General features: G+C 39.1%; 1 protein-coding gene across 8 annotated transcripts in view, besides 1 other annotated feature; it reads left to right on the top strand.

The window, feature by feature from the left end:
• The window catches only part of DAB1 (DAB adaptor protein 1), a 1,551,949-nt gene that overhangs the window by 1,405,473 nt on the left and 122,943 nt on the right, over positions 1 to 23,533 (top strand). For all 8 annotated transcript variants that reach the window (NM_001379461.1, NM_021080.5, NM_001379462.1 and 5 more), the window contains one exon: positions 4,613 to 4,711. In NM_001379461.1, coding sequence (NP_001366390.1) covers positions 4,613 to 4,711 — 99 coding nt within the window. The remainder of the gene's footprint in view (positions 1 to 4,612; positions 4,712 to 23,533) is intronic.
• Positions 3,013 to 3,062: an enhancer, noted in NCBI's record as "active region_1080". NCBI's record gives its function as "activates an Ori minimal core promoter by ATAC-STARR-seq in GM12878 lymphoblastoid cells {active_cell/tissue: GM12878}" and the evidence as "EXISTENCE:reporter gene assay evidence [ECO:0000049][PMID:35858748]".

Genomic DNA, 23,533 nt, shown 5'->3' with positions numbered 1-23,533 from the left:
GTAGGAATCAGTCTCTGGTCAAAAACAGGACAGAGAAAGATACTTATATTCCCCTTTTTAACTGGGAAAAATGAAACTTAGAATGAATTTTTTCCCTTTGGTTCATATAGCTGGTAACTAGCTAGAACTGAGAATGGAGAATGGAGACCGGGCTTATTACATGGGGCTTTCTGGAATAGCGTTCTAAGGTTTTCAGAATTCATGCCTGAAGCCTGCTGCATTTACACATATGTTTTACATGTTCCCTGGAGAGCACAGTCATAACGTTGGGTGCATGTACTGTGCTGTGTGAATGTTCTCAGAGCCCTTTCATGTACATCATACATCTGATTCTCAAAGCAACCCCTGAGCTGAACAGGGCAGCCTGTGACTCTTGCTTGGCATGCCTGACCTTTTCTCTATATGTAACGTCCTCCATCGAGATACTGCCTACTTGTGACTCCCTTGAGGATGCCTGTGTCAATCATTTCACACAGTGCCTAGCACGTGGTATTGCTTAATCATATCAATATTAGGTCTCAAAAGTATAACTGTTATTTACTGAGCCCTCCCTGCATACTGTGCGAAGTGCAGTAGATGCATAGTTTGCTTAAGTGTCCCAACACTCTTATGAGGTGAGAAACGTGAATATTATTCTCATTTTGGGGTTCCTCTTCAGCACTAAGTTTGGAAGCTGTTGGTTCTACCTAGCTATTTTCATAAACTTTTGGACATATTTGTAGCATGCATCATTGGTCATTTTTTAAAAATCTGTTTCCCAAAAAGGGGCTCTTAAAGAAGAGAGGATTGTAGTAGAAGGATTCCTACCTTGAGAATCAGAAAGATCACTGTTTGACTTTCAGTTCTATGACTTATTAGCCCCTTTAGGTTCTAGGAGGACATTTGATCCCCTGGCCTTATGTTTCCTCATCTGTAGAATGAGGGAGGTAATTCTTACTTCCCAGGATTGTGATATTGACTAAATTATACGATGGGTAAGAGAACCTCTAGCATAGGCACCCAAGGAAATGTTTGACTCTCTGGTTTCCAGTTTCCAGTGGTGACTTACTAGGTCAGGTGGCTAATGTCAGGCACAGAGTCCATAACAGGACCTATATCCACTTCTTTTGACTCCCTAACCAGAGCTGTCTCCTGGGCCTCTGTTAGTTCTGCACAGTGGCCATGAATAATCTTGTGGGGAGATGAGCCCGTCAGTGTCCTGAAGGCACTGTCTTGTGGCAGGCCCACTCTAGACTGAGTGCAGTTTTTCAGAGCTTGACCCAGAGTCCTGTCTCACAAGAAAAACATGCTTGATAAGATGGGACTTTTCTTTCCCCAAAGATAGCACCTTATGGATTGTCCTTCTCTTTTTCATTTGTCATGTAAAGTCACCATCAGCAGCCCCAAGTGGAAATGCTCCTGGAACATGTATGTTGGCTTTTTCCATCCTTCTTTACCTACAGCCATATTCTACCAGGGAATTCTTTGGTAGCTACTTGACACCAGCAAGCAAAGGGGGCCTTAGTATCTAATCAGCACTACTATATGCTAGGAATTAATTGCTATTTGATATTCCAGGAAATCTGTTAGCTAGGAGCTGTTAGGACTGTTTTGGAAATGGAGACACTGAAACTTCTCTCCCTGACCAAAGGTGTAGCCCTATCCCCACCCTGTCCTGTGCTCTTCTCACCTAAAGGAAGAAGGAATAAAACCAGAAGGAGAGAGTCTCCTCCGCTTTGACAGTCCTTTCAGTACTTTCCTTTAGGAGGTCACTTCTTAGTCCGTTTGTGCTGCTGTAACAAAATGCCTGAGACTGGGTAATTTATAAAAAACAAATTTGTTTTCTCACAGTTCTGGATCCTGGGAAGTCCAGGATCAAGGGGCCAGCAGGTTTGGTGTCCAGTGAGGGCCCTGATCTCTCTGCTTCCAAGATGGTGCCTGTTACTGCATCCTCCAAAGTGGATACATGCTGTATCCTCAAAACAGAAGGGCAGAAAGGGGAATGAACTCCTTCTCTGAAGCCTTTTTATAAGAACGCTAATCCCCTCTATGAGTGTTCTACCCTTATCACTTAATCACCTCCCGGTACTATCACTCTGGCAATGAAGATTCAACACATGCATTTGAGGGGACACATTCGGCCACCATCAAGGGGCTAATTATTTTTCTGATTTGTATGTATCCTGGATAGCTGAGATTGAAGATTGGGGTGGAAAGGGATAGTAACATGTATTATTTTACTCCAAATCTATCTGAGAACACAGATTTAAAAGTCAAGTGAGGGAAAGTCACTTTCCTTCTCTTTGAGTTCCTGCTTTACACTAGGCTCCATTCTCAGCCCTGGGCACAAACCAAATAAAAAAAGTTCCATGCACAACTGAACTTTTGTTCTATTAGGCAAAGGCAGACAATCAATGAATGAATTTGCGAAATGTCAGATGGTGGTAACTTCCAGGAGGAAATTGAAGCAGGAAAAACAAAGGAGATGCAATTTGGCATAAAGGGTGTGCTGTGTTGGCTAAGAGGGTCAGAGAGGGTGGCATTAAACAGAAATTAGGAGTTACCTCTGGGATTCCAAAGACATACTTTGGCCATTTCTGCATGTTCCTTAAAAGCATCCCACAGTGAATTCATGGGAAAACAAGGAGCACATTGAGCAATCTAGAAACCATTGAATGCGGGGAGGGATTGAAGAGACAGAGAACTCTGCTTTGTATGTGAGTTAAGAGTTACTCTAACCTTTTAGAGAGCAGTTGCTGGAGGAGGGGTCTTATATCAATATGGAGCAGCTTTGAAAGGCTGAAAGAGGAAGATTGGAAGGGGTTGTAGGGAGAGAGACTTAGGCTCCCTAGAAGGAAAACACAATATAAAGGATAATCACTGGTCCCGGCACCAAGTGCTAGGAGAGCTGAGTTATAGTCTCAGCTCTTTGACCAATTCCCTGTGCTGTCTCAGGACGGTCTACTACCTTTCAGTTCATCATTTTTCTCATCTGTCAGTTGAGAAAGTTGGATCTATTAGTTTTAAGGTTTTCTGTGGTGCTATACATTCTGCATGTCTGTGAGTCTGCAAGACGTGCTTGAGAATGAATGGGTGATGTGTGAAAGAGGGAATTTCCTCCTAGCAGGTGTCTAAACAGGAACTGAAACACAAACTGTAATGGACATTCATGTATTTTCTAGAAGAAATTAATTTTTATTATATTTCTTCAGTATACCAGGCATTGTGCTAGGTACTTTAAATAAATGTTTATTTAAGTCTCTTAACCATGCAAAAAAATGATGGATTTTACACTGGAGGAAGTGAAACTAAGAGGTTAAGTAATTTGTCCAAGATTATACAGAACCAGGAGTATAACTTAGATATTCTGATTCCACAGAATATTTCCAATACCCAAGGTGAGGATAATCAAACATCCTCAACAGAATGTGCCTTCCTCATACCTCTGGTCATACCTACTGCTCTCTAACACCAACCATTCCCCAAAACTGATGCTGAGAATAGCACATAGTACTTTTTGTCTCCTGGAAATATGAAATCATTATTTTAGACTTTTCTTCTTCTAAAAGCCCAGAACCATAACTGCTGAGAGTTGGGCTTAATCTTGCCATCTTTAGAGGCTGGCAGTAATGAGCCTCTGCCAGGCTGGAAGTCTCAAGGTCCCTAATGCATGGTCAGCAACAGCACCTCAGGGTGTAGATCCCTTGAAAGGTCTTTATCTCCCGAGTTGTACCCTAGTATGGAGCCCATGCTTTCCTGCAACTGGCCAACACAGAATCTAATTTCGAAAGCAAGTGTCTTTACTCTTAACTTGAATCATATCAACTTTGGAGGACTCTGGATAGCACATATTCATCTAGCAATTATTTGCTAAGCAGACCTGCCCTCCACGGACTGTCCTAAGCACTAGAGATAAAGCGGTGGACAAAGTAACACCCCAACCTTTTGTGAAGCTTACCTTCTCACTAACTCATAGACATATCTTCGGCTTATAAAACATTTGAGACAGTGAGGAAACAGTTTTTTTGATAAATGGAATGTGAGAATGAGAGGAACAAGGGTAGTGGTAAACACAAAATATCTTTGGATAAAAATTATAATCAATAGGCATTTAATTATATTGATCACATTTTTTTCCAGCAAAATGGACAGTCTAGCATTTGTTTTTATTTTCTATTATCTAAAATTGATTCATATGAAAACTTTTTCCAGAATTATAAAAAATAAAATTATATGTAGGAATATACTTAGCAGCTCACCTTCATTTAAAAGATTGAAACCATATCTAATATAAAACCCAGAAAAGACATTAATATGAAAACCATATTGTGTCTATCTTGGGACCCCCAATTCTGAGCTGAACATCTAGACACCATTCTATAAATTTTGATTAGTTAAGTGAGTGAACATTCAAATATTTCTCTATACAATGTGTTAGAAACACTAGGACAAGCATTACCCTAAAACACCAAGGAGATGTGAGCCGCATTGAGTAGAGAAATATGGAAGTGCGAAGGGAAAGCAGTGTGCATGATTGGTGGCATTGGTTGATGGTATCGGACATACCTTTGGGACCAGAGAGAATTTTCAAATGAAAACACTTAAGTAAAAACCATGTTCTTCCTTTCAACAGGGCGTTGTTGCTGGCGCTCGTTCCAAAGGAGAACACAAACAGAAAATCTTTTTAACCATCTCCTTTGGAGGAATCAAAATCTTTGATGAGAAGACAGGGGTAAGTAAAGCAATCACATGGCATTGTGAAATTTTATCCATTGACAGATGTACCCTTAAAAGCCTCTACTCTCTGGGCAGGAATATACAACAAGCATAAAAACACATAAAGCAACTGACAAACTTGATCAACTCTGATCATCCATCAAAGCAGGTCTCTTTGCTGACTTGGCCACAGTATGGCTGCACTGTGTTTCTTATAGTGTAATGGTGATAAAAGTGTCACACTATCCTGGTAATCTGATGGGAGATTGATGAGCTTTGAAGATCAATGGGTAATGTGACAGTTTAAGTTAAATTTCTTTGTGCGTTGGCAACTTTAATGACATACGTCCTAGAGGGAGATACATGTACATCTTTTGACTCGGTCAAAGCATCCAGACTCTCTTGAGTTTAACCTGGAGCACCTTGCAATTGCTGTAATCAAAAAGAATAAATGGAGTTCTCAATCTTAAAAAAGAAATCTATCACTGCACGACCAGGAAATTTAAGGGCTGATACGTTTGTTGAACCCACCAAAGAAGTGGTTTGTGTTTTCATCAACCTTACAGCTGCAATTAACTCCCAGATTCATCCCCAGAGCTCTCCTGACACTGTCAGTCCTGTTCATTTGGGGTAAGAGGAAAATAGAAAAACCTTCTATGATCCGTTTTCCAAGAGAACAAGAGTCAAATAGATGTCTTTTTCCTTATATTTATTCAGTGTTTTACAGCTTATAAAACACCTCCACATATATCACCTATCATGTACTTCACAAAGGTAATTTATCAAGCACTTTATAAACAATACTTAACCAGCGGAGTTACATTACCTTGGTCATTTTGCATTATTATTTTCTCTTCCTTGTTCTGACTAGTATGAAGATAACATAAGGGTAGTAAGATGGTAGTTTAAATGTAAAAATGGATTTTCTTGAAGAAAAAAGGTATAGAAAAATTACTCCTAAATAACTAGTAATAGAATGGATATTTGTACACCTCTGATCATAACGGCATTACTTTCAGTAGCCAAAAGGTAGAAGCAACCCATGCCTGTAGATGGATGAATAGATAAACAAAATGTTGTATATACATACAGTGAAATTCTATGGAGCTCTCAAATGGAAGAAAATTCTGACCTGTGCTACAATGTGTATGAGCCTTGAAGACATTATGCTGAGTGAATTAAGCCAGGCACAAAAAGACAAATATTGTATGATACCATTTATATGAATTACTTAACATAGTCACAGTCATAAAGACAGAAAGTAGAATGGTGATTGCCAGAGGCTAGGGAAAAGGAAAAATGAAGTGTTATTATTTAGTAGGCATGAGGTTTCAATTTGGGAAGATGGAATCTTTTAGAGATGAATAGTGGTTTTGGTTGCACAAAAATGTGAATGTATGTAATGCCACTGAGCTGCACACTGAAAAATAGTTAAAATGGTAAATTGTATGTCATATATTTTACCAAAATAAAAAATAGCTAGGTGTAACTCGCATTATTGAGTACCTCCCATGTACTAGCTGTGTGTTAGTCAGTTTACATACATTATTCAGTTTCATTCTTGCAACATTCCTATGAGGTGATACTAACAATAGCTACTTTATCAAATACATATTATGTGCCAGGCATTGTGGTAAATATAAGTACCAGGTCATTTAATCCTCACAACAACCCTAGGATGTAGATGGTACTATTATTCTCATTTTATTGTTGAAGACAGCAAGGACAGAAAAGTTTACATAACTTGCTGGCAGTAAGGGGTGACAGAGGCAGGATTAGAACCTAGGCGGTCTGGCTCCTGAGTCCTTTTGTTTAACAATGATGCCTATTATCTCTCAAGATAAATCTTTTCTAACTTCACCCACGTTTTGTATTCTTTTTCTTTTTAAACTTAGGTTCAGGGGTACATGTGCAGGTTTGTTATATAGGTAAACTTGTGTCACAGGGTTTGTTGTACAAATTATTCTGTCAGCTAGGTACTAAGCCTAGTACCCAATAGTTATTTTTTCTCTTCCTCTCCCTCCTTCACTACAACCTCCGCCTCCCAGGTTCAAGTAATTCTCCTGCCTCAGCCTCCCAAGAAGCTGGGATTACAGGTGTTCACTAGCACGCCCAGCTAAATTTTTTTGTATTTTAATAGAGACAGGGTTTCACCATGTTGGCCAGGCTGGTCTCGAACTCCTGACCTCAGGTGATCCACCCCACCTTGGCCTCCAAAAGTGCTGGGATTACAGGCATGAGCCACCGCGCCCAGCCTTAACAGTCTTTATATGAGTTGTCAAGTAGGAAGAGGAGCTGACTTGCTCTGTGTGACCTCAAGGAATGGAACCAAGACTAATTGATAGAAGTTTTAGGAGGTGGTTTCTGTTTATCAGTAAGAAGGCTTTTCTATCAGTCGGCAGTTAAATGGACTGCCTTCTGTGTGAGGGAGTTCACCGTCGCTGGGGGTATTCAAGCAACAACCATCTGATGAGATATTGTTGAAGAAAGTCAAGTAGAGGATAAAGTGCTGGACAAAGTCACATCTAAGTTGAGTCCAGAGACTAATTTTAAGATTATGTTTTCTCTTAAAGTCATATCTATTGATGCTTTTTATTTGAAAAATCTCTACTGGAAATTATGAGCAGGAACAGTTTACTAAACCTTAGTCATTGCCCAGCAGGGGACTGACTCAATGTTCAGCATGGGTTCTAAATGAAGTTTTTTTTTCCATATCAAAGAAGTGGAAAACTGGGCCTTTATCATTTGGAATGACAGTCTTAGTTGTTTATCTCATCTGTGGTATTTTTGCTCAAGCTTGACTGCACTTTTTTTAAAAACCAAGAAAAGAAACATTTGCAGAACGTGACAATAGCTAAAATCCAAAAGCTGTCAAAAATGTTTTGATCCCAATTAAAGAGACCCTTTGCAGCAATTTACACCCTGTCTTGAATTTCAAAGAACTCCTGATCCCAATCCTTATGTGAGTGAATTTTGTTTTATTATTAGCTTGTTGCAGGGAATAAATCAATAGTGAAAGCTGTTCATACATTTAGATACCTAGATATTGCTAATATATCATGATGTTACTAGGTCTGTAGACCAGACAGATGGATGACGAGGAAGGAGTTATGTCATCTTCATTTTGCAGATAAGGGCAGTGAGGTTCTGTGAGTGTCCCTGACCTGACTGTTGACTCAGAACAGACTTTTCAACTCCAAGGCTTTCTAGTGAACCTCACTGACTCTATTCTCTCTCCATTCACCATGTTAATCCATAGAATTATTACAACTTTATATCATAAAAAATGATATATACTGCAGGACTCTAAAGGTAAGTCTGTTTCTTAGGATGAAGGGCAGTGGTCTGCATCAACTTTTCAAGATGTCGCAACATCCTTGTTGCCACAGAAACGTGAATTTTGCTTATTCATTTGAATGAGCCAACACTTACTTAGAGCTATTAGACACACCAATCTAAGTATGCTACGGCAATTCTATGAAGTAAATGCTATTATTATCACCATTTGGCAGATGGGAAAGCCAGGGTCCATATAATTTAAGTCACACAGCTAACAAATGGCAGAGCTTGGTAGCTTGGTCCAGAATCTCTGATACTAGTGAGGTGTTACTAATAATAGCATACCAAATTTTATAAATGATTTTATAAAATCATTTGATGCTTTTATCTATATTAGAGCAGATTCCCTATTATCTCTGTCTTATTGTCACTGTTATTCACTTTCATTCTGATGAGCTTTCCTGAGTGAAGACAAAAGGGGTGGAGTTACAACTGGGGCTGCTTCGTCCATAGTTTGTCTTGGATAGATAGAATGTTGACAGTATAACCCATATATGATTAGACAATACAGGTTGAGTATCCCTTATCTGAAATGCTTGGGACCAGAAGTGTTTCAAATTTTAGAGTTTTTCAGATGTTGGAATATTCGTATTATATTTACTTACCAGCTGAGCATCCTAAATCCAAAAATCCAAAATGTGAAATGCTCCAATGAGCATTTCCTTTGAGCATCATGTCAGGGCTCAAAAAGTTTTGGACTTGGGAGAATTTTAGGTTTCAGATTTTTTGATTTGGGATACTCAACTTGTAACATATTAGATCCCTACTCTATGCCATGTGCAGCCCTGTGTTTCCTGAGGATTTGAAGATGAATTGGTCACTGTCCTTGCCCCTGAGATGCTCATAGTTCATTAGTGAACCCAGACTCACAAAGTGAATTCACAGCTGCCAAGATACTGGGATACTCTCACCTCCTACCTGCTATGCCTTAGTTATTTTGTGCACATTTGCCAATTCTTAATCACGAAGTCATTTCATTTTTTATGTAGTAAGTATTACTGGGCACCAGCTATGTGTGAGTCATTGTGTGATACAGATACAAGTGTGAACAGAGTTGTCCATGTTCAGAGACTGGGGTTTAACTTTGCCAAGAATGTTCCTGAAAAATTTCACTGACTTGGCAGTGGAGGAGTGAGTTGGAGAGGACCAGATAATTAAGTAAGGGAAGAGAAAACAGCATTTCTAAAGGCACAGATATATGAAAGAGAAAGATATATATATGCATTCACTCAGGAAATATTGGGTACCTGTATAAAGATAGAGATAAATAAGGCCCCATCTTTTTGTTCATCACTATTGTCTATCTAGCTAGCACAATGACTCACACATAGCTGGTGCCCGCTAATACTTACTACATAAAAACTAAAATGACTTCACGGTTAAGAATCAGCAAATGTACACAAAATGACTAAGGCATAACAGGTAGGAGGTGAGAGTGGCCCAGGATTCAATATTGTCCCTCAAAATAGATAGATAATTGTGTTTTAAATACAATAACTGCACTTAAATTTCAGGGCTGATTTAATAATTTATTCCTCAGTGAAAACCAGATGTCACCTTATTTGTGCCTCATCAAAAACAAGTCTGTTCTCCTTTCAGTTCAAACTGGATGTTTTGAGCAAGGTTTGGAGAGAGCAACTGAGGTTGAGAAAGGGAAATGTCCCAGGGAAGGAGTTAGGAAAAAGCTGAGGAGGCTGCAGAACGTCACACTGGGACCTGGTGTTCTCTGGGACTCAGAAGTATCTGGGATGTTGCTGTCATCCAGGTCAGTGAGACAGTGCACAGGACTCTCAAAAGACTGGGGATAAGGGCTAGCCTGTAAACATGACAGTGTGGTTTAGAGCAGGCTTTCATGGATCTGTCTCATTTACATCCAACAGTTCCTGGAATTTTTTATTATCCCCCTTTTATAGATGGATCAACTAAGGTACAGGTAGGTTAAATGACTTCATGAAGTTCCACCCTGGTCATTTGACCCCCAGGCTGCACTCTGGTCACCCAAAAGAAATTGAATTCAAATTAGAACTCTATAATACCTAAGCTTATTTTCTTTCTTTTGTTTCAGAGATTCTCAACTTGACTGGTTCTGTGTCTCTAAGGAGTGGTTAGGAAATGTGTGTAGGCAGTTTTGTAGTCACAACTTTTTGCAGAGGGGTTGGTAATGCAGAAATTTAATTGTTAAAAGCCAAGGCTGCTAAATAATCTGCAATATTCAGGGCAGACACATATGGCAAAAGATATTTTCCTATGCTATATGACTTTCTAATGTCTTTCTAGAAATTCATGTAGATGAAAAACCTGTTAGTAATTATGTGAATTTAAAAAGCTAACCCTATTTAGCACATAAACAAAGTATTTTACCCATATACATAATACCGAATTTTCCAGAAATGCAACTAGACTAAGAGAAAGATGAAATTATTTCTATTTAACCAAAATTTTATACCCATTTACTAACATCTCTCCAATCTCCCCACCCAACCCTCCCTCTGATAACCACCATTCAACTCTCTGCTTTTATGAATTCAGCATATAAGTGAGATCATGTGATATTTGTCTTTCTGTTCCTGGCTTATTTCACTTAACATAATATCCCCCAGGCTCGTCCATGTTCTCCAAATGACAGGATTTTCTTTTTTATGGCCTGATAGTATTTCATTGCATATATATACCACATTTTATTTATATATTCATTCGCTGGTACCACACTTAAGTTGATTCCATTTCTTGGCTATCATGAATAATGCTACAGTGAACATGGGAGTGCAGATAGATCTTCAATACACTGATTTCATTTCTTTGGATATGTACGCAGTAGTGGGATTTCTGGGTCATAAGGTAGTTTAAAGTAATTTTTCTTAATGTGTATGTATCTCTGTTTACTCATCCATAAGATGGAGATAATAAATGTACCTATGTCTTAGGGTTGGTGAAAGATTAATTTAATCCTCTAAGACTTAGAATAGTGCAGAGTAAAATAAAAAGCTCGAGGTGTTAAATAATATTACATTATTGGTTATATTGTCCCATCTCCTGTACAGTCTTTCTATGTCCTCTAAGCAGAATTAAGAAAGCCTTTTATGATGTCCCTACTTCATCTTCTGCTTGCTGTATCCTAGCACATGATCATCTGTGTCATACTGAGTTGACTCACACTCCCATCAGACTACAAGCTCCACACAAGGTACCCTGGATCATTTATTGTTGTATCGGCCAGGCCTGGCATAGGAAACCCTGGCATGTGACACAGATGCTAATCGGTCACTGAAGGTAAAAGGGAAGGCATTCAGGGATGGATAGAATGAAACACAGAAGGGAGGAACAGGGAAACAATGACTACGTCAGCTTACAATGAAATGCTAATTGTCTGGCCCTGATATTGGAGCCCAAGATGCTATATACCAAAGATGCTAGTTTTGCCATATAGACAGTAAAATATCCACGATTCAGAATTATCTAGTCATAGGATATCAGGGATGGAAGGTCCCTTAGGCATGAACTAACCCACACATTTGCGAATGAAGAGATCTGAAACCCAAAGAGAAGCGAGCCATGAGATCTCCCTATAAAGTATTTGCAAAATCCTAGACTTGAACATTGCTCTGGACAGATTTGAGTCATTTTCTGATGCTCACAAACAGGAAGCAGGGAGTGTCCTCTTCTTTTTCCTATTTTTTAATTTTGCATTTCTTTTCTCTACAATCTCTTCTCTCTAGACCACCCCCATACTCTTTGTGTATTATATTCAATGTTCAGGGCTTCCACTGGCCCATGGCTGCCCCAGATCTATTTTAATGTCAAATAGATAGAACCTTTAAGGGGAAAAATTGGGTCTCTGTGTGGTTAGTGTCTTGTTGGATGATACGGGATTTTAATTTATCACAATAAAAAAAATCAATTCGTAGCCCAAATCAACATATTTTTAGAAATTGGCACTGTCAGGAACCTGCCTCCATGAGATAATTTACAGGACCAAGTCTATAATTCATGACAGGGGAAAAGGGATGTTACAATGCCCTGGAAAGTGAGACCATGAATGTTTCCAAGCAGATTTGGTCAACTCAGAAATTTTCTTGATGATTCCTCTTATCAGTCTTGGTCTTTAAAAAGGTATGGTGGTAGTATTTTCTAAGCTAGTTGCTTTTACATGCTTGGCCTCGTTTAACTCAATCCTCTAAGCGCTCAACTAAGAAGCCACTCCTCCCATTAGACAGATGAGAAACTGAGACCCAAGGGGTTAAGCAACTTACACAAGAACAAATATCCAGTACATTGTGGAGCTGGAAACTGATCCCCAGATGATATGGTGCTAAGGCCCATGTTCTTTCCAGTTCCAGGCGGTGGCATCTCTCCCCTTCATGGGCATAGTGAGGGCCTCTTGCAAGCAAGTGATCATTTTTCTGCTCACCAGGGGAGAAGTCAGACTGCACTTAGAGTTGTCAGCATGCATACAGGCCCTGTGACTGAAGATTTACAGTGACTATTTGGGCCTCTGAAGGGATGTGGGAGGCACTAGTCTCAAAGATCCAGAGCCTCAAATTGCTGGATGACCTTGGGGATGGCTCATCTGCTTGCTGTACGGGCCCCTGTTTCCCCATCTGAAAACCAAGGGTCATATGGCATACTTTTTTTTAAAGGGCCAGATGGTAAATATTTTAGGCTCCGAGTGTTATACAGAGTTTAAGTAGTGCAACTATTTAATTTTGTCACTGTGGCATCAAAGTCACTGCACATGATATGTAAACAAATGACTGTGGCTATGTTCTAATAAAACTTTATTTGTAAAAATAAAGGCATCTGCTGACTCTGTTCTGCTTGATTATTAAGGATTCTTCTAATTTTCTCATTGTGATCCCACGATGGGTCCATGAGCCCTTTGGCATTGGGAGATGAAGACTAGGTGAAAAGCTATGGTTTTTTATCCTTTGTTCACTGCTCTTTTGTGGCTGATTTTTGGGATGAGTGATGAGTGTAGAGTGTTTTATATGAACTTTCAAGATAAATATTCATCTCTAAAGAATTGTATTATTTATTTATTTATTTATTTATTTATTTATTTATTTATTTTTATTTTTTGAGACTCTCACTCTTATCTCCCAGGCTGGAGTGCCATGGCACGATCTCTGTTTGCTGCAACCTCCACCTTCTGGGTTCAAGCGATTCTCATGCCTCAGCCTCCTGTGCAGCTGGGATTACGGGCGCATCCCACCATGCCGGCTAATTTTTGTATTTTTAGTAGAGATGAGATTTCACCATGTTGGCTAGTCTGGTCTCGAACTCCTGACCTCAGGTGATCCAGCCGCCTTGGCCTCCCAAAGTGCTGGGATTACAGGTGTGAACTACCACGCCCGGACAGGAGTTGTATTATTTATTGCTACCATTTGTTGAGTACTGATTGCCAGGCATGGTGCTAAGTACGTCATATAAATTTTTGTCATTGAATTATTACAATACAACTATTAATTACATGTTATTGTCCCCATTTTACAGATTAGGTGACTAAGACTCAGGAAGGTTAGGTCACTTGAACACAACTACTCTTAAATTTTTATCTATTTATTCAAAAGCTACTTATTGAGCACCTACTGGGTGCCAGGGAGTGTTCTCAGGGATTTGGATACATTGGTGAACTAAATGAAGGTCCCCACTTTGTGGAGTTTACATTCTAAGGTGGAGAGACAAAAAAGAAAAAATAGACATACATAAATAATATACTCTGTTAGAAAATAATCAGTGTTATAGAAAAGGAAAAAAGCGAGGCAAGGTCAGGGCATTTTTCCACTGTACTTCCTTTGTCCTCATGAAAGGGCCTGTGACATGTGTGCTTTGTAAATCACAAATATTAACGTGCTCTGGGAGCTTCCTGTAACTTTGAGGGTCAACTGAGTAATGGAGAAAGACGCTTCTGAAAATTCTCATCCAAATTCCAGAGGCTGTTACACTTGATAAATCCGAGCTGTCCACTTGGGTGTCTCTGCTTTTATTTAGATGGCTGATTGCTTTATATGGAGTCTACTGCTTATTGTTTTTCTATCTCCCTCATTTATTTTAAATTTTAATTTAAAACTCATTTTCCATGACTGTGCCGTGGTTATTTAATAGGTGCTTCTATTTTTATGAAGACACTCCTTGCAGGAGCTATTTGTATCAAAATGATGATACTGTAATTAGGCACAGCACTGCTATGATGATTCTTTGTGAACCTCTCAAGTGCTTTACAGTGATGGCCAGAGGTGGAGAAGCAATCATAGTTCTGGTTACAGTAAAGGAACGTGGTGTCATAGAAAGCAAGGGACTGGGTCAAAGTGAGAAGAGATAGTGAAATTCGTCTTTTAGTGGGGAGAGTTGTGCTGAGGAAATGCAGGCTGGAACCTGGGGACAGGGTGATGGAGAGGAGCCCAGGGACTGGGTAACCAGGATTGAGCCTGGGGGCTGGGTGACCAGTGTTGCAGACAAAGGGCTAGATTTGCCATTAGCAGGCCTGAATTTGAAGAGTTACTTGTTAGAAGTATGCATATTGAACTGCAATGAGGAAAACGCCAATGAAAACAATAGTAATGATAATGATCACGCTTACTATTTTGCCAGATCTTGCTGTAAGAGCTTGACATACGTGTCATTTCATACTTGATGAATCACTGAACCTCTTAGCAGCTCAGTGTTCTCCTTTGGACTATGAGAACATTAATTAGCTAGCCACAACAATTTTGGGAAATAGAGGTATTATCTCTTTTTTGTGGAATATAACGCCAAGGTTCAGAGAGGTGCAGGGGCTTACCAAGATGTCTCAGCCAGTGAGGGGGTGCCCTGTCCACTACATTGTTTCATACTGCCCCTGTGTGCCTGCCAAAACAAAGAAATGGGTATGGGTGTATCCATTCTGTTCCAGATGTTACCTACAACAGAACGCTTCAATGACTGATTGGTTTCCTTTCTGTACTAAAGTTACTAACTATACATACTTAATTTTTGATTCTAGAATTAACAGTGAGATGAATTTAACACCTTCACATTTTTAGATCCTATAATCAGTCACTACTTTTTTCTTGGAATTTTCACTGTTTTTCTTTAAAATAAGAATAACCATGCCAAGCTGGTAAAGTCTCTGCATGCTCTTCTATTTGCGATATGAAAGATGGGGAGAATTTTAAACAAAGAGAAACAAAAATGCTAGACTATATGTGACTTGAGGGCAGGGTCCATGATTTGGTCATCCTTGTATCTCCTACCTCCTGGCATGTGATCAGCTCCTAGTAGATATTTGTGGAATTGCACTGAATTTTTCGTTGTAAAAGTCAAGAAGCCTCTGGTTCACCTCTTTGTCTAGCTATGCCTATAAGCCTTTGATTGCTGTGGGTGGCATCTGAACTCTAAACTACCATCTCCCTGAGACAGAAAATGGCATCTCCACCACCTCTTCTGGTGGGCTTCAGTGATACAACCCACTTTATTCCAGCCACGTCTGTCCTTCTCAGGGTTCTTTCAATTTGTCGATGAGTAGAAGGTTGCATAAAATGTATTAAAGCTTGTGTATAATGTGTTAAATCTCAACCTTTGGTCTTATTGATGATCTTAATGCATAGGTAACCCATTTTCCCCTCATTTTTCTTTCTATTTACCCATCCATCTAACTTGCCTTCTTCCTTTCCCTCATCCTTTTCTCCTACTTTCATGTACATGTAGATATACTCACCTTTTTTATTGCCATATGTATTTTTTTCAGAGAGATTATATGATACCTACTATGTATAAGATATAAAGTATAACCTGCTATAGAAGAAGTATAATATCTTATGCAGATTGACAGGAAAGGAAAGTAGGTACTATGTATGGAGCACTACACTAATATTACAGTGTAAGTTCCTGAAGGACAGAAACTCTGCCTGATTATCTCTGCAGCATATGAGTCTCACCTCTTTCATTTATCCTGTGCCCTGCCAGAGGAGGGAGCCCTCCCCAAGGGCGGGAGTCCCTTCAGGGACCTATGGGGTCTGCGCCTCCAAATTTTGATGCCTGTGTACCCCAGGTCCTGGAGCATGTATACGGAACATGTGTAAGGATGAACTGAGGGATGAGAGGGAAAAAATTAGCCTAGCAGAGCTGCTGAGATGGTGAGAGATGAGCTTGGGGTTGTCAAATCTTCTGTGCTATGGTGACTGTGCTGAGTAAATTATGCACACTGACTCATTCTGTCCTCACAATCACACTATGAACTATAGATATTACTAACGCCATTCTTCCACACAAAGCAAAGAACATGAGGCATGAGGCCGGGGTTGGGGGGTGGGAGGGACAGGCATTCTGAGCACTGAGGACAAAAGACAGTGATTTTTTGATGCTGACTCAAGCCTCAAGCCTGACAGTCTGTCTGATGAGCACAAAATCAGATGCAGTATGCAGCCATTTCAGCCCTAGGCAGCTTCTGTATTATGGCTTCAGCCAAATATTTCTATTGTGATCACCCCAATTCTCAGTCCCATCTGCAGGAGCCTCATTCATATAGTTCAGGGATTTACCTGCCAGACTAGATTTGACTTCTAAAAACTATTTAGAAAATTAGGAGATTGCAAATCTGCAAGAAATTACCAGAGAAGTGTGGCCTCAATATTTAAATTAAAAATGCCAGCAACTCTAAAGCCTGAGATCTGAATCTTTCATGATGTCTAAGAGATGTGCAGACATTTTAAAGTTATATATTTAAAATTTTGAAAATAAAGATTTTACTGGCAATTGTCTAAACTCAAGACAGTTATAACCTCACTTTTGAGGAGAAGATAGTTCATCTTCCATATAAATGGCTCCAACGAGAGTGTCTGAGACTCTGAGATACTGAGATGCATCATCTCATGACTCTGACTGTGCTGTATGATATATTTACCCATGTGAATAGACACGCATACTCTTTCATATTAATTTCCATGCTGTCAAAGTCTGTGTCTATATTTTCACTCCTTTATCTGTGTCCTATGGTACAATCACCTTTGCACTGAACAAAAACTTCTTCATCTGATACAATAATAAAAGGAATGTCTTATGTTTGGGAATCTTTTTTTGTTGTTTTCAAAGTACTTTCACTTTTTCCTTACCACTGATCCTCACATTAATCTTACAAGATGCATATGACACATGCAGTTTTACTGGTGGTAGACCTGAAGCTCAGAGTGCTTAATTGCTGGCCCAAAGTTACACAGTGGTAGTTGATAGAGCCTGGTCCTTATGCTTTTTTCAGTTTATAAAAGTATTATATATTTATTGTAGAAAATTTATAAAATGTAGAAAAGTCATAAAGAAAAAAACTGCAAATTATGTGAAATCTCACCACTTAGATATAAACCCAATCAAGATTTTTTTGTGTATATATCACCATTCTTGTTTACATAAAAATAATTTTTTCAAAGTTGAAATTAAACTATACACGCTGCTTTGTAACCTATTTTTTACTTATCCACATTTTTCCACTAATTATTCTTCTACAACAATATTTTCAATCAACATAAAGCATTCTAGCATAGGAGTATACCATAATTTAGTAAAAACCATATTGTTAGCCATGCAGGTTTTATCTGTATCTTTGAGCACAGCTTTGAACACTACTGTCATTATTTCCTTCATTGAAATTCTAGGATTACTAGGTCAACATGTGTGGATATTTTTAAGGCTCTTGGGCTTTTTTTGATCAAATTATATTCTAAAAAGTTGTACTGCTAGATGTATGATGCCGTCTGTTTTACCACATATTTGCCAGCATGGAGTATTGTCATTTAAAAAAAATTAACTTATTGATATTAAACTTTAGTTTGAATGCCTCTGTCCTAATTTCAGAATCTGCTCATAATGGTCACTATAGGGCAGCAATATAATTGTAAAGTAGGGCTTTTATACTGATGAGACTAATGGTCCTTTGGCTTTACCTACAAATCTGAATGACGCCAAAGGATATTAAGAATTGACTGAAGTTGGATTTCTCTTAGGACTTGGCCTATCATTCCCAAGGTGTTAACTGCCTGGACTGCCAATATTCCCATAGTCATACATTTTCACTGGCCTATGTTCAGGGTCATATTGTTGATTCTCCACGTATGCATAAATGTCACCAAGAGGAGAAAACTTGACAATCTTTATTACTATAATTTAAGATTTCTGATCATTGGCTTTCAATGAAAATAAAATATATTTATATATTCTTTTCTTTGCATAAAGCTGTAGTATCTTGGGCAAGTAATTTCACCTCTCTGAGCCTAAGTTTTCTCCATTATGGGATGGAGAGGGGCATGACTCAGGCGCTCTTTGGAGATATTTTGCAAAAATTCAGGGAGAGAGAATGCACATTAAAGTTCTTGGCACTTTATAAAATTCTCCTTGATGATGTGCATTATTTTTTTCATAAGAAAAGAATAAAGTTAGCTTTCCACAAATATTTATTAATGAATAAGCTCCCCCTTCCTTGTTCTTCATTCTAGTAATTTTGTATAATTTATGGAGAACAGGTTTATTGAAGAAAGGGAATGTGGCCCAGATTCTGTCCAAATTTAGAATTAGTGGGATCTGAAATAATGAGATTTTTCTGTAGCCTCTTTCAGGATAGCTCTAGTATTCCCATGGCACTCATCAGTTTGGTTTTCCACCTACAGTATCTCTATTCCTGCAGTCTGGATGAGGTCTTCTAGAGAACTGAATGCACCTTAAACCTCTTGAGGTTATTTCTCTAACCTCAGAGTATTTTCTGAACAAATCTGCCTTTGCCTTTATTTCTTCTTATGAAAGTATATGAACATGTTTGGGAGAGCTAAGGCTAAATATTCCACAGGGTGTAAAATCCCATCCTTAAAAACCAGAGCTCCCATCAGCACCTTGAAGTCATTTGTTTTTCTTTTGCTGACACTCTCATCTGTAAAAATAAAGTTATTCTATCAAACATTTACTGAGCATCCAATGTGTACCAGGCACTGGGATATGAAGATGAATCAGAGAAGCCTCTTGCTCCACAGGCTTCATAATCTAGCAGCCGAGTAAACAGCCAATTACACAACAGTGTGATAAGCAACATCTTAGTGTGGCTGCCTCTCTTCAAATTCACACATGTGCCTCTCTCCTAATGACCTATCAAGCAAAGCAAAGGGAATCATTCTCATTAAGTAAGCAGATGATATTTAATTGATCGTACAGGCAATGTTTGCAAAATAGAGATATAATACAGAGACACTATGTAGAGAAGAAACTCACAGAACTGAAAATATCGGAGGGGCTATGAAAATGATCTCAGCCTCATCTCCGGCTGACCCCCCACAACCACAGAAAACCACTTTTTTTTTTAACTTTAAGTTTTGGATACATGTGCAGAACATGTGGATCTGTTACACAGGTACACATGTGCCATGGTGGTTTGCTGCACCTACTAACCCGTCCTCTAAGTTCTCTCCCCTTGCCCACCACCTTCCTAGCCAAATGCAGAAAACTGAAACTGGACCCCTTCCTTACACCTTATACAAAAATTAACTCAAGATGGATTAAAGACTTAAATGTAAAATCCAAAACCGTAAAAACCCTAGAAGAAAACCTAGGCAATACCATTCAGGACATAGGCATAGGCAAAGACTTCATAATGAAAACCACATTCAGTTCTAAAATGTGCCGGGTTTTCTTTTTTCTTTTTCTTTTTCTTTTTTCATTCAGTGAACATTTATTAAGCAGTGTTTCTCAAGTGAAGCATAAATTAGCATTTCCAGTTGGGACAATTCCTTTTTTGCAAGGCTGCCCCATGCACTGCAAGACATTTGGAATCCCTTCCCCCACTTCCCTGATGCCCTGTGCAGATACCAAAAGACATCTTTCATAGTGACAAGCAGAAGGGTACTTTTACATATTTCCAACTCTCTCCCTGATAGAGAGAGTGAGGGAGTGAGGGGTCCTGGTCTTGTGTGAAAGCCATTGGATAGCAAATATGTTCTTTGCACAAGTATGCTTCCTCCTCTTCCTCTTCCTCTTCTTCTTCCCCTTCCCCTCCTTCTCCTTCTTCTCCTTCTCCTTCTTCTCTTTCTTCTCCTTCTCCTCCTTCTCCTCCTCCTCCTCCTCCTCCTCCTTCTTCTTCTCTTCTTCTTCTTCCTCTTCTTCTTCCTCTTCTTTTCTGCTTAGGACATTCTTCTCCTGTCTCCCCTACCCACTATCTCTTTGCCCCTTCCTTTATCTGGCTGACTCCACTTTATCCTACAGACCTCTCAGCTCAGGCACTATTTCCTCAGGAATTCTTCCCTGATTGACAAACCTAGGTTAGATATCTCTCTTTTGTCCTTCCACACACCAGCCACTTTTGTTATAGTGCTTATTAAATGTGCTGTACAAGGTGGAAGCAACCCAAATGCCCATGGATGGATGAGTAAACAAAATGTGCTATACACATGCAATGGACTCCTACTCACCCGTAAGAAGGAAAGAAATTCTGACACATGCCTCATTATGGATGAAGCTTGAAGACATTATTCTAAGTGAACCAGTCACAAAAGGGACAAATATTATATGAGTCTTCTTTTATGAGGTTCCTATGGTAGTCAAACTCATAGAGACAGAAAGTAGAATGATAGTTACCAGAGACTGCAGGGAGGAGGGAATGGGGAGTTAGTATTTAATAGGTACAGAGTTTCAGTTTGGAAAGATGGAAAAGTTTAATGGATGGATGGTGGTGATGGTTGCACAACAATGTGAATGTACTTAATGCCACTGAACTGTACACTTAAAATGGTAAAAATGGTCAATCTTAGGTGTATTTTACTGCAGTAAAAAATGCGTTATAATTGGGTGTTTAGTGGCAGCATACCTTCCTATGATTTCAGATCCCTTGAAAGCAGGAGCAGTGGTTTCACCGGTGTGTTCACAGTACTAAACCCTTACCTTGTAGATAGAAGGTGCTCACTTACAACAGTTACGTTGAATAAATGAATGAATGTAAAAATGGTCTCATTTCATTATATCAGACTAATATATTTCTTATTTTACAGATAAGAAAATTCAAATTCAGAGATAAGTAGTGACCTTACTGACATCACAGATAGTAGATGTTGAAGTCAGTTTTGAAACCCAGGTGTTGTCAACTCCAGCCCAAAAAAATATTCTTTCCATTGGGCTAGCCTTTATTTGTTGTCACTTTCTACACATAGCTGAAATTAGAGAAAGTAGAGGCAGAGAAATTCACCTGAAATGCCATATCTGACAATAAAAATGATTTTAGGAGACTAAAAAGAGGTTGGGAAAGGAAGAAAGAAAAAGAGGCTGATAAAGGATTTTCCCTGGGATATAGTCACTTTTCATTTGCTGTTTGTTTTTTCCAATCTCTTGTCATGTAACTGAAAGAACTGAAAATGGGGAGACTGATTGGGCAGTCAACTGTTTCCCAAGGTCGGAATCCCAATCTCTTAGGTAATTTAATCTGGAAGGGGGTTTTGCTGTAGGGAACCGCCCACATGGTTGGGGATGGACAAGATGATTTAATAGACCTCTTCCTGCCATAATTGCTAATCTTCCTTGTGGAAACCCCCTTCTCATGCTGCATTAAAGACTCCATTAATTTGTTTATATATAAATTCAAGCTACTTCAGTTCTGTCACACTTCTGAGAGGTTCCCATTCAAGAGTCTTTGGCTTGTACCACCCATTAGGATTTACTGATAAGAAAGATGCATTATACGTTTTATTACCTTGTCTACAGAGCACATGTGACAAATATAAAGTACATTCATGTATAGTATGAATAACTGTCAGGGTAATTGATAAAGTGGTCTGTAATAAAGGTAGCTGGAATGGCATTCCTAGAAGCTGAGGTCTCTAAGTGCTCAAGAGGAGGGGGGAAAGACACTAAATAAATCCAGTCTTTCAGAAATCACTGGCATTAAAAAAATGATAGCCAACCAGAATCCTTAGGCCTACATTTCACTTTCAAGTATAATTATTTTATGTTGTAATTCATATCTGCTGACACATTGGAATCAACTCAAATAAAGGAATGCCATAAATCTTGCATTGTTTAGATTAAGCAAGTTTTGGTGCTGGAAGAAGTCAGGGAGGGAACTGCCCTGTATGTAAATAGTTGAAGAGAATCAAATCACTGGAAAAGTTGTAGATCCAGTTGAGACAAGTGGTCCACCGGCAGTCTTTCAGCCTCAGTTTAAACATTCAAAGCTGCGATAGGCTTAGCACTTATCTTTGTAGGTGAATTATACCTGACCATTATAATAATATTCATAATAGTAACTGACACTGTCACTTACGGGCTTCTACTATATGTCAGCTACCTGTCTATACTGCTGTTCTATCATCATAAATGCGAGCTATTTCTAGCCATGTTATCTCAAGCATATTACTTAACTTGTCTGTACCCCAGATTATTCATCAGACAATGGAAACAGTTATAGTGTAAAATCACAGGTGTATTGAGAAGATTAAACAAGGTAATATATGTAAAGTGCCTAGAACAGTGTTTGGCATGCAGTAAGTGATCAGAAAGAATAAGCTAACATTGATCATTATTTCCATCTACAAATAAAAAAACCAGTCATAGAGAAGTTAAGGAATGTGCACAAGGCAGCTGATGAAGGATTTAAACCTGGGTCTTCTAGATTCCAAACTGTAAATTCATTCTACAACTTCTGCCTGCCTGCTACATTCTCTCCATGTTAACTTCATACATTGGTCCTTATTCTGACTTTTTTAGCATAGAAGGCAGGAGCTACGTATACATCCCTGTTAGTCTCCCAGTCTGTTTTAAGCTGAGGGAGGTGAAGATGGAATAATCTTTCTTGGTGGAATCTTTCACCTTAACTGGGATATGCTAGTATATGTTGTGTCTTAATACATGTTGTGTCTTGTCCAAACATGAATTATGTGGCCCCTTCAGACTTCCAATCAGTTTTGCAGTATGGCCTATACTTCCTTTTCCTTTCATGAAAATTTGTTGATGTTGTTACAGCAGCTCTACACTGTCATTAGAGAGTCTGTTCGAATGATGATAATCATTGTTGACACCTTCCATGGCTGTATATTTGTCTCCTCCAGCTGTTTTGCAATTAGACTAATCTTGTGAAATGGATAAAATATCAGAGAAGGAATCAGATCCAAGAGATACACCACCTCTATATGCTTATACCTATATGTCTTGTACTGAAAGATATATGCCAGCTCTTTCTCTGACTACCTGAGTATCCTTGAAAGTAAGTCACTGGGCTGTGTCCTCACTTCAGCCTGGCTGTATTCTTAGCCTTTGGCTCCTGATGCAGCAAGCCAGCTGAACACTAGGTCACAGAGTGTTGTGTTGAGGCAACGTCAGGACCAGCCTACCATCCCCCCTCCCCACACCCCCCTCAAAAATCCCACTACTTTCATGAGCCTTTTATAACTAGGACCAGAAGGGAAGTGGACTTCAACATTTTAGAAATATTTTCAGTGTGAGAGCACCAGTAAAACTGAGCTTAGAAACATAACAGCACCTAGACCCAATAAAAGATGAGTGGAGA

Source organism: Homo sapiens, chromosome 1 (genome assembly GCF_000001405.40).
Source record: "Homo sapiens chromosome 1, GRCh38.p14 Primary Assembly".
NCBI classification, from domain to species: domain Eukaryota; kingdom Metazoa; phylum Chordata; class Mammalia; order Primates; family Hominidae; genus Homo; species Homo sapiens.
Note: the sequence above shows the minus strand (reverse complement) of the source record. Positions and strands in the feature narration are given on the sequence as shown.